This window comes from Homo sapiens, chromosome 1 (assembly GCF_000001405.40).
Source record: "Homo sapiens chromosome 1, GRCh38.p14 Primary Assembly".
Lineage (NCBI taxonomy): Eukaryota > Metazoa > Chordata > Mammalia > Primates > Hominidae > Homo > Homo sapiens.
In genome coordinates, this window is record NC_000001.11 from 41,192,926 (window position 1) to 41,210,850 (window position 17,925).

The 17,925-nt window shown below is 37.9% G+C and overlaps 1 protein-coding gene across 37 annotated transcripts in view; it reads right to left on the reverse strand.

The window, feature by feature from the left end:
- Positions 1-17,925, reverse strand: part of SCMH1 (Scm polycomb group protein homolog 1) — a 215,105-nt gene that overhangs the window by 165,724 nt on the left and 31,456 nt on the right. For 7 of the 37 annotated variants that reach the window (NM_001350668.2, XM_047449589.1, XM_047449568.1 and 4 more), the window contains exon 2: positions 1,398-1,474. The exons of the other annotated variants lie outside the window; for them this stretch is intronic. The gene's annotated coding sequence lies outside the window, so the exon portion shown is untranslated. The remainder of the gene's footprint in view (positions 1-1,397; positions 1,475-17,925) is intronic. 37 annotated transcript variants of the gene reach the window in all.

Genomic DNA, 17,925 nt, shown 5'->3' on the forward strand with positions numbered 1-17,925 from the left:
TTTCAGTTTTACAGGACATATGGTCTCTGTTGCAACTGCTCAACTCTGTTATCATAGCATTAAGGCAGACATATAATACACTAACAAATGAACATGGCTATGTTCCAGTAAAACTTTATTTACAAAAAACTGGTGGCAGATAGATTTGGCCTGTGGGCCATAGATTGCCAACTACTAACCTAGAGGAATCCTTCCCTAAATAACTCAACCTGGCTCTGATCATTCCATTATTTTACCTCAAGCATACACTATATCGTTTTACATATATCTATGTGTTTTTAGGTATTTTTGTGTGGTCAGTCTCCCACTTAGAATACTGTACATACAGATCCTTATAAGGAAAGAACTGTAGCTCTTATTTTATTCATTAAACAAAATACATCTGAGCTGAGTAACAAAATCTAAGCCTAGTAGTAACATGTTAAAGACACAAAGACAAATAAGTGTAAGTCCCTGTTCATGCTCACAAAGAACTCACAGATTAGTAGGAAAGATAGCAATTCAAATATACAATCATCGTGTGATTTTTGCTATACAGAGATTTGCTATAAAAAGTGCTCTGGGAAAACAGAAGGGAATGATTAACTTTGCCAGGGGTTGGGGGGGGGTTGAGGAAAGCTTCATGGAGGAGATGAAGTTGAGCTAGGATTATCCGAAGAAAGACAAATAGGCATTTCAGGCATTCTTCCTAATTATGTGGAATTGAACATAGAAATGGAAAGGGACAATGTGTTTGGACAATGCTAGCCATTTATTACAGATGAAAAGGGACAAAGTAAGCTACAGGGACAGATGACAGAAACTGAATGAGCTGAGGCTAGAAAAGTAGAAATGAGGCACCTTGTAAAGAATTTTGCTTGCTATACTAAGCCAATGGTATATTATATATTGAGGACTCTGGTATCATCCCAAGATTATATGTTAGCTATTGAAGGTCAAGATCTGAATTATTTATGATACTTAACATCCATAAAGGGGTTTTAACACTTTTTCATAGACTTTTATATACATTATTTCCAATGTTCATACAGCTTGCATACTACATGTCTACTAAATTCTGATACTAATTACGAACTTACAATGTAGTGGAAAGGTTAAGACTTAGAGGCAAAAGATCTGGGCTTTATCTTACAGCTATTAGTTACAGGATTTTGAATAAGTCTCTTAGCCCATTATTGTTTCTATAAAACAGGATTAATAACAGTACTCTACACATACTTTTAAGTAGTGTAGTTTGCACATTATAAAGGCACACATAATTTGTAAAAACTGCAGAATAAAATGTCAAGAAAGGGGAAGTTTTTTCATTTGCTCTGTTTTTTGTGACACATATATTCATACACAGCCTAATAGAGGATAACTCTCTATTTCTACTATGTATAAATACAGGTTCTGACCTTTTCAAGGATCTGATTTTTGCATGGTTCAGCTATATCAAATAGGAAATCATTCTTCCTTAGTACGATGTAGAAATCTAAAAGCGAAAGATAGAAAAAAATAGAAATATGAACTACTGTAGATCAAAGAAGATATGCAGTGAAATTAGATTTCATCAGAGGAAGCCAGAAGGCTGGTTATCCAGACAGGGCTTCTCAAGGGCAGCAATTTGGTTAAGTTTCCAATTTCCAGGATACTTTCCTCAGCTTTATGAGTTCAGAACCCTGATTCTGTTAAAAATGGAGCAGACTCTTTTGGATAGAGCTATAGGTCATTACACAATAATAGGTAAACTAGAATGTTAATTTATTAATTTACTGTGAGAAATATAACCGCCTAAAATATTTACTGGTACATGACCAGGGCCATTTGACTTTAAAGGTGCATCTACACAGGAACCAAATGAGAATCAGATTTCTTGGGCAGTGTGGAACCAGAGTAAGAAATTGTTTGTCTAACTCAGAAGTTTGCAAACCTTTTCTATGAAGAGCCAGATAGGCTGGGCATGGTGGCTCATGCCTATAATCCCAGCACTTTGGGAGGCCGAGGTGGGTGGATCGGGAGTTCAAGTCCAGCCTGAGCAACCTGGAGAAACCCCATCTCTACTAAAAATACAAAATTAGCTGCGCTTGGTGGCACATGCCTGTAATCCCACCTACCGGGCAGGCTGAGGCAGGAGAATTGCTTGAACCTGGGAGGTGGAGGTTGTGGTGAGCTAAGATCATACCATTGCACTCTAGCCCAGGCAACAAGATTGAAACTCTCTCTCAAAAAAAAAAAAAAAAAAAAAAAAAAAAGGCCAGATAATAAATATTTGCAGCTTACCAGGCCGTGTGGCCTCTATTGAAACATGAAACTAGCCATAGATAATACCGATCATACAGAAATGAATGGGCATGGCTGTGTTCCAATAAAACTTTAATTTCAAAAACAGCCCTTAAGAATGCAAAAGTCCTCAACAAAATACTAGCAAACAAAATTTAGTAGCATAGTAAGAGCACACACAATTACCAAGTGAGGTTTATTCCCAGAATATAAGGATGGTTCAACATATGAAAATCAATTAACATAATATACCATAAATAGAATGAAGTAAAAAAAAAAGGCACATGGTAATGTCAATGTAGAGAAAGCATTTGACAAAATTTAATGTGCTTTATAATGAAAATACACAATAAACTAAGAATAGAAGGGAACTTCTTCAACATAATAAAGGCCATATATAAAAAACTCACAGCTAATATTATACTCAATGGTGAAAGACTGAAAGCTTTTCCCCTAAGATTAGGAATAGGACAAAGATAGCCACTTTCACCATTTCTATTAAACATAGTACTGGAAGTTCTAGCTAAAGTAATTAGGCAAGAAAAAGGAATTAAAGGCATTCAGATTTGAAAGGAAGAAGTAAAATGATCTCTGTTTGCAGATGATATACTCTTATATGTAGGAAATTCTACAGATCCCACAAAAAAGCTATTAGAGCTAATAAATGAATTCAGCAAAGTTGCGGGATACAAAGTCACACACAAAGTTTAGTTGCATTTCTATATGCTAGCTATGAACAGTGTGCAAAGAAAATTAAGAAAATAATTCCATTTAAATAGTATCAAAAAGAATAAAATATTTAGGAATAAATTTAACTAACACGGCTAAAGACTTGTACACTGAAAACTACAAAATATTGCAGAAAGAAATTAAAGAAGATGTAAGTAAATGAAAAGATACTCTGTTCTGTGTTCATGGACTGAAAGACTAATATTGTTAAGATGGCAATACTATCCAAAGCAATCTACAGATTCAACGCAATCCCTATCAAAATCCAAACGGCATTTTTGCACAAATAGAAAAAGTTGTCCTAAAATTCACAAAGAATCTTAAAGGATTCCAAATAGCTCAAACAATCTTGAAAAAAAGAACAAAGTTAGAAAACTTACACTTTCTAATTCCAGAATGTACTACAAAGCTACAGTAATCAAAATAGTACAGTATTGGCATAAGGATAGATAAGCAGACCAATGTAATAGAACAGAGAGCTCAAAAATAGTTAATTTTCAATAAAAGTCCCAAGACCATTTAATGGGAAAAGGACACTCTTCAACAAACAGGTCTGGGAAAACTGAATATCCAGATGCAGGAGAATGAAGTTGAATACTTACCTTATACCATATACAAAAAAATTAACTCAAAATTTATCAATGACCTAAATAAATGTAAGAGCTAAAACTATAAAACTCTTAGAAGAAAACATAGGGGAAAATCTTTAACATTTTAGATTTGGCAATGACTATAGGATATGACAGATAAAACACAGGCAACAAAACAGAAAACAGATAAACTGGACTTCACCAAAATGAAAAACTGTTGTGCATCAAAAGATCCTATCATCAGAGTGAAAAGACAGTCCACAGAATCGGAGACAATACTTGCAAATCATGTTTGTAGTCTGTCGATATCCAAAATATACACGGAACCCCTATAATTCAACAACAAGAAGAACTAAAAACCTAAACAACCCAATTCAAAAATGGGCAAAAGACAATTCTCCAAAGAAGATATACAGATGGCCAATAACCACATGAAAAGATGCTCAGCATCAATAATCACTAAAGAAATGCAAAAAATACCTACAATGATATACTACTTCACACTTATTAGTATGGCTGTTATGAAAAAAGAAAAATAACAAATGCTGGTGAGGATATGGGAAAATTGCAACCATCATGCATTGCTGGTGGGAATGTAAAATGGTATAGCTGCTGTGGAAAATGGTTGGCAGTTCTTCAAAAAGTCAAATGTGGAATTATCATATGATCCAGCAATTCTACCCCTAGTTATATACCTAAAAGAACTGAAAGCAGGGATTCAAACACACCTGTACACCAATGTTCATAGCAGCATGATTCACAATAGCCAAAAGTGGAAAACAATCTAAGTGTCCATCAACAGATGACTGGATTAACAAAACATGGTATACACATACAATGGAAAACTCAGCCATAAAAAGGAATGCAATTCTGATAAATGCTACAACATGGATGAACCTTCAAGGCACTGTGCTAAGTGAAACTGGCCAGACACAAAAGGACAACTACTGTACGATTCTACTTACAGGACGAACCTATAATAGGTAAATTTATAGAGATGGAAAGTTAAATAAGGGTTACCAGGGAACTGGTGGAGAGAGGAGAGTTATATTTAATGCGTACAGAATTTCTATTTGGGATGATTAAAAAAAATTCTAGGGATGGATAATGGTGCAGGCTACACACACTATAAATGTACTTAATGTCTTAAGATGGTAAACTTTAAGTTTATGTATATTTTGCCACAATTAAAAAAAAACAGGCAACAGGTGGATGTGCATCAGTGTTTGAAAGCCTCATTCAACTGTCTTGCAAAAGGAACACAAAGAGCTTCATGGGGACTTTCAAGAAATCCAATCTTGAGCCACAGAATTCCTTTTCCTGGGTAGTCCTAGATGTAGTCCTCTATCAACTTTCTTTATGACTTCCTGTTTAACATGTTTCCAAACTGTTCATCTTCTAATAAACATATTCCTTTTCTGGATAATGTTACTATCTATACATAGCATGCAGTACAGATGGGCTTTGGGCTTGAATACTAACTTTGTCACTAGCTATGTAAACTTGGACAGGTTACTAAGTGTCTCTGGACCTCAATTTCTACATCTTTAAAATGGAAGTAATAGTGCCTACCCCAAGGTTAGGAAACGTTCAATGTCATGATCTATTTTCATGAATTAATGTAAGTAAGTGTCTGATATATAGAGGGTGCTGCCTCAGCCCCCCAACACTTTGTCATATTACTGATCGCTGATGAAGTCACAGTCCATTCTTTGTCTCTTGGCTCCAACTGAATCCATATGATCATCACCACAGTTCTCTGGGGTTTAGAGGGGCTTGCTAGCATCTCCATCAGAGACTTTCTCTCAAAGCCAATATCCAAAAGACAAAAAGTAAGTGTGGACAAACTCATTTTCTATCTACCCCCACAAAGCAGAAGCCTGTCTTTATAGCAGGAGTCCACCCTCTGTGAGGGCAGAGATTGTCATAGGCTTATTTTATATCCTACACATTGTCTAGCAGTGCTTAGCAGAAGAAGTAACTTCCTCAGTTTTTAAAATTTGAATTTTCAAGAATTGTTTTTTATAACAGGAGCTTTCATAAATTTTCTAGTATATAAGTCTACTTCTACCCTTGTAGTACAAAAATAGTTAAGATAAAAACAATAAGCATGGTTCTCTTTTAGCAACAAGAACCCAAGGAAAAACTGTAAGGTGCTACAGGGTGTGACAGTGACCATTTCAAAGCCCACCACACTATAATTGGATTGCATTAAAAGTGCAAGAAATAACAGAATATGTCCAATATTTCACCGTTAAAAAGTAAATGATAGAGTCTGTCTGATATTCAACAAGATCGTATTACACAAATCAGGGAAATCTTCATGTGAAAAGCAAAATATCACCAAATCATCTAAAGATCAGAGAATGGTATATACTCCTAGATGACAGTGACATTCAATTTCACCTTGCCTGACTGACCTAAACTCCTCCAACTACACCAATTGGGATTATCATCAGTATATATTTATTAAACACGCCAAGGTATAAAACTGGAATTAGGAAAAAGGAACTATTACAGAACAAAGAAATGGAAAGATTACAAGGAAAAGAGGCTAGGATCATTCTGTTAAAATAAATTTTCATGTTGTTAACCTAAAGAACCATCATAGCAGAAGAGCATAAACTATGTGTTAGGCACTTTAAAAATAACTTATTATTAAACTATAACATTATTATCCAAAAGTGCATAAATCATAAGTATACAAGCTTAGTGAATTTTTATAATGTACCTCCAAACCAAGAAAGAGCACATTACTAGCACCCCAATAAATATCCCCTGTGCCCTCCCCTCCCAGTTACTGCTCCACCTAAGAGTAGCCATTGTCTTGACTTCTATCACCGTAGGTTAGTTTTGCCTGTTTTGAATGTTATATAAATGAAATCATATCATATGTACTCTTTTATGTCCACTTCCTTCCACTCAACATTTTGTTTTGTGAGAGTCATCCACTGTGCTCCTGGTAGGTGTTTTTATTACTTAACTTAAAGCACCCAACAATTCTGGCATTACTGTTCCCATTTAGATTTTTTTTAAGCTGAACTTTGGAAGTTAAGGTTAAGGCACCCATGGTCACTCAACTTCTAAATGCAAAAGCTAATATTAAAGGTTGTCTGATTTCAGAAAACCAAGTATCACATGTACTTGTTTATAAGTGGGAGCTAAATATCAGGTACACATGGATATAAAAGTAAGAATAATACACACTAGGGACTCCACAATAGGGGGTGGGGGTGGGAGGATGCTGAAAACTTCCTATTGGGTACTATGTTCACTATCTGGGTGATGAACTCAATGGAAGCCCAAACCTCAGCATCATGCAATATACCCTTGTAACAAACCTGCACGTGTACCCCCTGAATCTAAATTAAAATTCAAATCAAAGAAAGATTGATTTCAAAGTCCATCCTCTTTTCGGTTTCCTTATGCCTGCCTAGTATAGTTTAAAACAAGAAGAAGACCATCCCTAGTTTACTTATCATAGACCATATACAGTGTGTATGTACAGAGGCTTGGCAAACAGGCAAATCTTAAACAAATGTAAAAAAGTGTTATTAATGCAAGGAAGGAACTAATTGGCACTGGCTTTCAGATCTTTTTTGATTGTAATCCACAGACTTAAATCTAGGTGTTTTTTACAACTGTATACATTCCTGGAAACCTCACAATTCTATAAAAATAATGCTTGTGGCCGGGTGCAGTGGCTCATGCCTGTAATCCCAGCACTTTGGGAGGCTGAGGCGGGTGGATCACAAGGTCAGGAGATCGAGACCATCCTGGTTAACATGGTGAAACCCCGTCTCTACTAAAAATACAAAAAAACATTAGCTGGGTGTGGTGGTAGGCACCTGTAGTCCCAGCTACGCAGGAGGCTGAGGCAGGAGAATGGCGTGAACCCAGGAGGCGGAGCTTGCAGTGAGCTGAGACTGCGCCACTGCACTCCAGCCTGAGCGAGAGCAAAACTCGTCTCAAAAAAATATATAAATAAATGTAATAATAATAATAATAATATAATAATAATAATAATAATAATGCTTGTGAGGAAAACAGAGTTAGGAATAGATACTAAAAACCCATGGAACTTTGTATCCTTTACACACGCACACATAAACATACTAAATTAGTCTCATTAAACTAAATTAAAGGGAAGAAGGGGTATGATCCATTTTAAAATAATTTCCAACTAAAATAATTTTTAAAAATAAAACTTTAATCTATAATGGAACAATCCTGTAGCTCTCCAGAACATTACGCTTCTTAGAATGGCTTTTTCTCTAAGGTTTTCTGGAGTGAAGATTTGAATGCATGTCATCATCTATAAACAGGAGTCACCTAATAAAAGCTTTTCATGATAACAAAATGAACAGCTGAGGTCTCACTCATATGGCTTTGCGGACAGATAAGAGATTACTAACCTTTACCATTTTTTTTTTATCAGTTCACACACTGCCTAAGCAGACCGTTGAAAGATGTCAATGTTACAAGGGACCAGAGATCTCAAGATCAACTTTAACCTCTTACAGTCTAATAGGTTAGAATCCTATATAGAAAACTATCTCCTTGGACAAAGAGCCCTGACAATAGATTAGATCCTCAACTACTTGGGCCATGAAGATGGGTAAATAAAGTAATTTGAACTTGACAGAACAGCATCCATAAACCATTCTGTAAATCCTCTCTAAAGTCTCAGATTCTTATCTTTTAAAAACTGAGGGAGTTATAAATCCATGGCATTATCTAGGGTCTTGTACGAATCCTACAGAATTACAAACTTGAGGGTAAACATGGTTTCTCTGTATCAAGAAACTGAGATGAAAGATCTAGATTTAGCCTGGTTCATTCTACTACTGAGAAGTCACTTCCTCAGGGCTGCCAATTCCTCAACAGAAAACAGAAGGTTAGAACTCAAGTGTTCTCTTAGTGCCTTCCCAGGTGGGTCCTACATTTACTGCAAACTAGCTGCATGCCTGTTTCCTCATCATTCACCTCTACAAGTATCTGATTTTATGGCTTCACAGAAAATTGAAATAAGGAACCTTATCAAGTGATATTAGTTGTCTTCCAATGAGCAACTCAAGCAATTGCCTTGACACTCATTTCTGGTTGGGAAACTCTGAGACTACCTCTTCTCTCACCAACAAGGGGCTTCCAGTGAAATGTGTATTCTGTGACTCCGAAATGGTAAAGAACTCAGGAAGGGGCTCTCTTCTCTAGCGAAGTGACTTAAGAGGGCAAGAAATAATCTTTGAAAGGTAATAGGTATTTGGCTAAGGGATATCATTGATTTTTTTAAAAAAAATTAATTTAAGGCAATGTAAAAAGAATATAGAACAAGCAATCTAAACAGCTCAGGCAGAATAGTGCTCAGTATTTACTAGGAACCTTCTTCATGCCAACTCCTGAGAATAATGCCTCTTTAAATAACTCAGGAAATCTTTGTATGCAAGCACAGAACTAGCAGGAACCAAGAGGCGTGAGAAAAATAACACATGTCCAGTTTCACTTCAGAGACCAAAGTTTATGGTTATTTAGCTTTTTGAGTTTTTTTATTTTTGAGACAGAGTCACTCTTGTTGGCCAGGCTGGAGTGCAGTGGTGCGATCTTGGCTCACTGCAAGATCCTGGGTTCAAGTGATTCTCCTGTCTTAGCCTCCCGAGTAGCTGGGATTACAGGTGCCCACGACCACGCCCGGCTAATTTTCGTATTTTTAGTAGAGACGGGGTTTCACCATGTTGGCCAGGCTGGTCTCAAACTCCTGACCTTGTGATCTGCCTGCCTTGGCCTCCCAAAGTGCTGGGATTACAGGCATGAGCCAACGTGCCCAGCCTTTTTTTTTTTTCCCTCCCAGAAATTTACCTTTTAGAACACAAGATGCCTTCCTCAACTTCCTCAGCTTTTGACCTAGTAATTCATCCCTTACTTTCATAAAATCTACTTTAATTCTTTCTCACTTTAAGCCTCTGGAGTCCATTGGACCAGGATTCGTGGTAGACTTTACTGTACTTTTATATGGTAGTACCATACTATTTAATAGTGTAGAGAACTCCAAAAATTTATTTCATCGAAATCATTAATGGGTGTCTAACCTTGTTAAATTTAGTGCAATTCATAACTTTTTGCACCCAGACACTCCTGAAGAATACAAACTCTTATCAGTGAGGGCAGACTCACTAAGAGCACTGATTTTCAGCAAGGGAATAGGAGGTAGGAGTAATATGATGGGGAGGGAGGCTCCACTGGATGAAGGTGTTTCAGAATCTCTAGAGGTATTTGTGTAATTAGAAAAAGCACCTCTCCTAGTCTATATGCCTCTCCTACTACCCTTCCCCTGACCCAGGGTCTAGAACAGTGCTATCCAACAGAAATATAAGCATAATGTTCAGTATTTATTAAATAAAATGCATTATTAAAATTATTTTCACTTGTTTCTTTTAACTTTTAAAAATATGATTACTAGAAAAATATAAAATTACATAGGTGGCTTTTACATTTTTCTAGTAGTCATATTTTTAAAAGTTTTAAAAAAAGAAACAAGTGAAAAATGATTTTAATAATGCATTTTATTTAACCCAGTATATCATATTATTTTGGCAAGTAATCATAAAAATCATTAATGAAAATACATTATTTGTATAGTGTCTTTAAAATCTGGTATACATTTACACTTATAGCTTACCTCAATTCAGATGCTAAATTTTCATCACAAATACTTGATCCGTATTTCAATTTTGTAAATTTACACTTGAAAAAGAAAATTCACATAGAAAATTCACATATCCAAATTGTTTCAAACATACTTAAAATTTTTCTAATACCTGAATTGAGATCCGTTTTTAATTTTAAATTTACTTAAAATAAAATAAAATAAAAAATTCATTACATCCAGTCATATTAACCACATGGCTATCAAAAACACAGTTCTAAAGGAAATATAAAATTAAACATCTATTAAGTACTTATTATGTGCCAAGCACTGCTCTAAGCACATTCCATGTATTATGTTGTGTTGGGAACAAGCCCCCCAAAATCTGGTCATAAACTGGTCCCAAAACTGGCCATAAACAAAATCTCTGCAGCACTGTGACTTGTTCATGATGGCCATAACGCCCACGCAGGAAGGTTGTGGGTTTACTGGAATGAAGGCAAGGAACACCTGGCCCACCCAGGGCAGAAAACCACTTAAAGGCATTCTTAAGCCACAAACAATAGCATGAGCGATCTGTGCCTTAAGGACATGCTCCTGCTGCAGTTAACTAGCCCAACCTATTCCTTTATTTTGGCCCATCCCTTCGTTTCCCATAAGGGATACTTTTAGTTAATCGAATATCTATAGAAACAATGCTAATGACTGGCTTGCTGTTAATAAATACGTGGGTAAATCTCTGTTCGGGGCTCTCAGCTCTGAAGGCTGTGAGACCCCTGATTTCCCACTTCACACCTCTATATTTCTGTGTGTCTTTAATTCCTCTAGCGCCGCTGGGTTAGGGTCTCCCCGACCGAGCTGGTCTCAGCAATGTTGTTCAATTTTCACTAGTCTATAAGGCAGGCACTATTATTATCTGCAGGCACTATTATTATCTTCATTTTAATGATGAGAAACCAGTGCAGAGAGATATCTTATAATTTGCCCAAGGTTACACAGTTGGTACATGGTGGAGCTGGGAATCAAAACAATGGAATTTGGCCAAATTTCTTGTCTCTTAGGCTTAGGATTTTTCAAGGAAAACTGGGCTATTTAGTACGCCTTAGCAGCAAATGCAATCTTTTTCCTGTGTTTGAATTACAGGTTCTCAGTATTGACCTATTTTCTTCCCTATATGATCCTGTCCTGACTATATGTTAAGGTAAGTTAGATCATATCACTCTCCAGCTTAAAATCTCCCAAAGCCTCCCCATAGCACTTCAAATCAAATCCAAGTACCTTATCCTGGCCCACATAGTCCTGCATGATCTGACCCCTACTTACCTCTTCTACTTCATCTCCTATGGCTCTCACCTTTTGCTTTGCTCCAGCTATACTGGTCTTCTCAGCTCCTGTTGGAGGCCAAGTTCCTTATGACCTTGGGGCCTTTACACTCCCTGGAATGTTCCACCTCAATATTCACATGTCTGGCTTTTCATCATTCAGGTCTTAGCTTAAATGTCACCTCCTCAGAGAATCCTTCCCTGATCACTCAAACTAAAGTAGTCACCTAGACCCTTTCTATCATACCACTCTTAATTCTCCACATAGCAGTTAGCACCATTTAATATTTTCCATATCTATTTATTTGTCTCTCTCACTGGGGTGTTTATGTTATTCATTCAGCATTATATCCCAGCACCTGGAATAGTGCCTGGTGTAAGAGGAGATACTCAATAGGTATTTATTAATGAAATGGGTATATGCTAATTTAATAGTAAGGAAAAAAGGCACAAAACTAAAAAATTATATGACCAGAATAGTGGCTACTTACTGAATTGAAAATACATTATACTTGGATGGCTTATAATTACAACCCACAAATTGATTTCTGAGAGAAAAACAGTTAAGGAAAATCTCTTAAAATGAAACAAAAATGACTGAACTGCAGGATGGCTGAATAGGAACAGCTCCAGTCTGCAGCTCCCAGCATGATCGATGCAGAATACGGGTGATTTCTGCATTTCCAACTGAGGTATCTGGTTCATCTCATTGGGACTGGTTGGACAGTGGATACAGCCCACGGAGGGCAAGCCGAAGCATGACGGGGCATCACCTCACCTGTGAAGCACAAGGGTTGGGGGATTTCCCTTTCCTAGCCAAGGGAGGCCGTGACAGACTGCACCTGGAAAATCAGTACACCTCTGCCCAAATACTGTGCTTTTCCCATGGTCTTAGCAACTGGCAGACCAGGAGATTCTCTCCTGTGCCTGGCTCGGCAGGTCCCATGCCCATGGAGCCTTGCTCACTGCTAGCGCAGCAGTCTGAGACTGACCTCAATCAATTCGGGGCTCTCAGCTCTGAAGGCTGTGAGACCCCTGATTTCCCACTGCATCCTCGCGGGGGGGAGGGGCATCTGCCATTGCTGAGGCTTGAGTAGGTAAACAAAGTGGCCAGGAAGCTCGAACTGGGCAGAGCCCACTACAGCTCAACAAGGCCTACTGCCTCCATAGACTTCACCTCTGTGGGCAGGGCATAGCTGAACAAAAGGCAGCAGACAACTTCTGCAGATTTAAACATCCCTGTCTGATAGCTTGAAGAGAGGAGTGGTTCTCCCAACACTGGGAGGTACCTCCCAGTAGGGGCCGACTGACACCTCATACAGGCAGGGGCCCCTCTAGGACGAAGCTTCCAGAGAAAGGATCAGGCAGCAATATTTGCTGTTCTGCAATATTAGCTGTTCTGCAGCCTCCGCTGGTGATACCCAAGCAAACAAGGTCTGGAGTGGACCTCCAGCAAACTCCAACAGACCTGCAGCTGAGGGACCTGTTAGAAGGAAAACTAACAAACAGAAAGGAATAGCATCAACATCAACAAAAAGGACATCCATACCAAAATCCCATCTGTAGGTCACCAACATCAAAGACCAAAGTTAGATAAAACCACAAAGATGGTGAGAAACCAGAGCAGAAAAGCTGAAAATTCTAAAAACCAGAGCGCCTCTTCTCCTCCAAAGGATCGCAGCTCCTCACCAGCAACAGAATAAAGCTGGATGGAGAATGACTTTGACAAGTTGACAGAAGAAGGCTTCAGAAGGTCAGTTAATAACAAACTTTTCTGAGCTAAAGGAGGATGCTCAAACCCATCACAAGGAAGCTAAAAACCTTGAAAAAAGATTAGATGAATGGCTAACTAGAATAAACAGTGTAGAGAAGACCTTAAACGACCTGATGGAGCTGAAAACCATGGCACGAGAACTTCATGACACATGCACAAGCTTCAGTAGCCGATTTGACCAAGTGGAAGAAAGGATATCAGTGATTGAAGATCAAATTAATGAAATAAAGCAAAAAGACAAGATTAGAGAAAAAAGAGTAAAAAGAAATGAACAAAACCTCCAATAAATATGGGACTATGTGAAAAGAATCTGCATTTGACTGGTGTACCTGAAAGTTACAGGGAGAATGGAACCAAGTTGGAAAACACTCTTCAGGATATTATCCAGGAGAACTTCTCCAACCTAGCAAGGCAGGCCAACATTCAAATTCAGGAAATACAGAGAACACCACAAAGATACTCCTTGAGAAGAGCAACCCCAAGACACATAATTGTCAAATTTACCAAGGGTGAAATCAAGGAAAAAATGTTAAGGATAGCCAGAGAGAAAGGTCGGGTTACCCACAAAAGGAAGCCCATCAGACACAGTGCCTCTCTCAGCAAAAACCCTATACGCCAGAAGCGAGTGGGGGCCAATATTCAACATTCTTAAAGAAAAGAATTTTCAACGCAGAATTTCATATCCCGCCAAACTAAGCTTCATAAGTGAAGGAGAAATAAAATCCTTTACAGACAAGCAAATGCTCAGAGATTTTGTCACCACCAGGCCTGCCTTACAAGAGTTCCTGAAGAAAGCACTAAACATTGAAAGAAACAATCAGTACCAGCTACTGCAAAAACATGCCAAATTGTAAAGACCATCGATGTTATGAAGAAACTGCATCAATTAATGGGCAAATAACCAGCTATCATCATAATGACAGGATCAAATTCACACATAACAGTATTAACCTTAAATGTAAATGGGCTAAATGCCCCAATTAAAAGACACAGACTGGCAAATTGGATAAAGAGTCAAGACCCATCAGTGTGCTGTATTCAGGAGACCCATCTCACGTGCAGAGACACACATGGGCTCAAAATAAAGGGATGGAGGAAGATCTACCAAGCAAATGGAAAGTGAAAAAAAAGCAGGGGTTGCAATCCTAGTCTCTGATAAAACAGATTTTAAACCAGCAAAGATCAAAAGAGACAAAGAAGGCCATTACATAATGGTAAAGGGATCAATTCAACAAGAAGAGCTAACTATCCTAAATATATATGTATCCAATACAGGAGCACCCAGATTCATAAAGCAAGTCCTTAGAGACCTGCAAAGAGACTTAGACTCCCATACAATAATAATGGGAGACTTTAATACCCCATTGTCAATATTAGACAGATCAACAAGACAGGTTAACAAGGATATCCAGGACTTGAACTCAGCTCTGCACCAAGCAGACCTAATAGACATCTACAGAACTCTCCACTCCAAATCAACAGAATATACATTCTTCTCAGCACCACATTGCACTTATTATAAAAGTGACCACAGGTGCTGGAGAGGATGTGGAGAAATAGGAACACTTTTACACTGTTGGTGGGACTGTAAACTAGTTCAACCATTGTGGAAGTCAGTGTGGCGATTCCTCAGGGATCTAGAACTAGAAATACCATTTGACCCAGCCATCCCATTACTGGGTATATACCCAAAGGACTATAAATCATGCTGCTATAAAGACACATGCACACGTATGTTTATTGCGGCACTATTCACAATAGCAAAGACTTGGAACCAACCCAAATGTCCAACAATGATAGACTGGATTAAGAAAATGTGGCACATATACACCATGGAATACTATGCAGCCATAAAAAATGATGAGTTCATATCCTTTGTAGGGACATGGATGAAACTGGAAACCATCATTCTCAGTAAACTATCGCAAGAACAAAAAACCAAACACCGCATATTCTCACTCATAGGTGGGAATTGAACAATGAGATCACATGGACACAGGAAGGGGAATATCACACTCTGGGGACTGTGGTGGGGTCGGGGGAGGGGGGAGGGATAGCATTGGGAGATATACCTAATGCTAGATGACACATTAGTGGGTGCAGCGCACCAGCATGGCACATGTATACATATGTAACTAACCTGCACAATGTGCACATGTACCCTAAAACTTAGAGTATAAGAAAAAAATTAAAAAAAAAAAATAAAAAATAAAAGTGACCACATATTTGGAAGTAAAGCACTCCTCAGCAAATGTAAAAGAACAGAAATCACAACAAACTGTCTCTCAGACCACAGTGTAATCAAATTAGAACTCAGTATTAAGAAACTCACTCAAAACCACACAACTACATGGAAACGGAACAACCTGCTCCTGAATGACTACTGGGTAAATAATGAAATGAAGGCAGAAATAAAGATGTTCTTTGAAACCAATGAGAACAAAGAAACAACATACCAGAATCTCAGGGACACATTTAAAGCAGTGTGTTGAGGGAAATTTATAGCACCAAATACCCACAAGAGAAAGCAGGAATGATCTAAAATCAACATACTAGCATCACAATTAAAAGAACTAGAGAGGCAAGAGCAAACACATTCAAAAGCTAGCGGAAGGCAAGAAATAAATAAGATCAGAGCAGAACTGAAGGAGAGAGAAACATAAAAAACCCTTCAAAAAAATCAATAAATCCAGGAACTGGTTTTTTGAAAAGATCAACAAAATTGTTAGACCACTAGCAAGACTAGTAAAGAAGAAAAGAGAGAAGAATCAAATAGATGCAATAAAAAATGATAAAGGGGATATCACCACCAATCCCACAGAAATACAAACTACCAAAATGCCTCTACGCAAATAAACTAGAAAATCTAGAAGAAATGGATAAATTCCTGGACACATACACCCTCCCAAGACTAAACCAGGAAGAAGTTGAATCTCTGAATAGACCAATAACAGGATCTGAAATTGAGGCAATAATTAATAGCCTACCAACCAAAAAAAGTCCAGGACTAGATGGATTCACAGTTGAACTCTACCAGAGGTACAAAGAGGAGCTGGTACCATTCCTTCTGAAACTATTCCAAGCAATAAAAAAAGAGGGAATCCTCTCTAACTCATTTTATGAGGCCAGCATCATCCTGATACCAAAGCCTGGCAGAGACACAACAAAAAAAGAAAATTTTAGACCAATATCCCCGATGAACATCGATGCAAAAACCATCAATAAAATACTGGCAAACCGAACTCAGCAGCACATCGAAAAGCTTATCCACCACAATCAAGTCGGCTTCATCCCTGGGATGCAAGGCTGGTTCAACATATGCAAATCAATAAACGTAATTCATCGCATAAACAGAACCATCGACAAAAACCACATGATTATCTCAATAGATGCAGAAAAGGCCTTTGACAAAATTCAACAGCACTTCGTGCTAAAAACTCTCAATAAACTAGGTATTGATGGGACATATCTCAAAATAATAAGAGCTATTTATGACAAACCCACAGCCAATATCATACTGAATGGGCCAACACTGGAAGCATTCCCTTTGAAAACTGGCACAAGCATGCCCTCTCTCACCACTCCTATTCAACATAGTGTTGGAAGTTCTGGCCAGGGTAATCAGGCAAGAGAAAGAAATAAAGGGTATTCAATTAGGAAAAGAGGAAGTCAAATTGTCCCTGTTTGCAGATGACATGATTGCATATTTAGAAAACCCCATCGTCTCAGCCCAAAGTCTCCTTAAGTTGATAAGCAACTTCAGCAAAGTCTCAGGATACAAAATCAATGTGCAAAAATCACAAGCATTCCTATATATCAATAACAGACAGAGACCCAAATCATGAGTGAACTCCCATTCACAATTGCTACAAAGAGAATAAAATACCTAGGAATCCAACTTACAAGGGATGTGAAGGACCTCTTCAAGGAGAACTACAAACCACTGCTCAATGAAATAAAACAGGACACAAACAAATGGAAGAACATTCCATGCTCATGGATAGGAAGAATCAATATCGTGAAAATGGCACATTGCCCAAGGTACTTTACAGATTCAACGCCATCCCCATCAAGCTACCAATGACTTTCTTTGCAAAATTGGAAAAAAACTACTTTAAAGTTCGTATGGAACCAAAAAAGAGCCCACATAGACAAGACAATCCTAAGCAAAAAGAACAAAGCTGGAGGCATCACACTACCTGACTTCAAACTACATTACAAGACTACGTAACCAAAACAGCATGGTACTGGTACCAAAACAGATGTATAGACCAATGGAACAGAACAGAGGCCTCAGAAATAAAACCACACATCTACAACCATCTGATCTTTTGCAAACCTGACAAAAACAAGAAATAGGGGAAGGATTCCCTATTTAATAAATGGTGCTGGGGAAACTGGCTAGCCATATGCAGAAAGCTGAAACTGGATCCCTTCTTTACACCTTATACAAAAATTAATTCAAGATGAATTAAAGACTTAAATGTTAGACCTAAAACCATAAAAACCCTAGAAGAAAACCTAGGCAATACCATTCAGGATATAGGCATGGGCAAAGACTTCATGACTTTTTTTTTTTTTTAAGATGGAGTCTTGCTCTGTCAC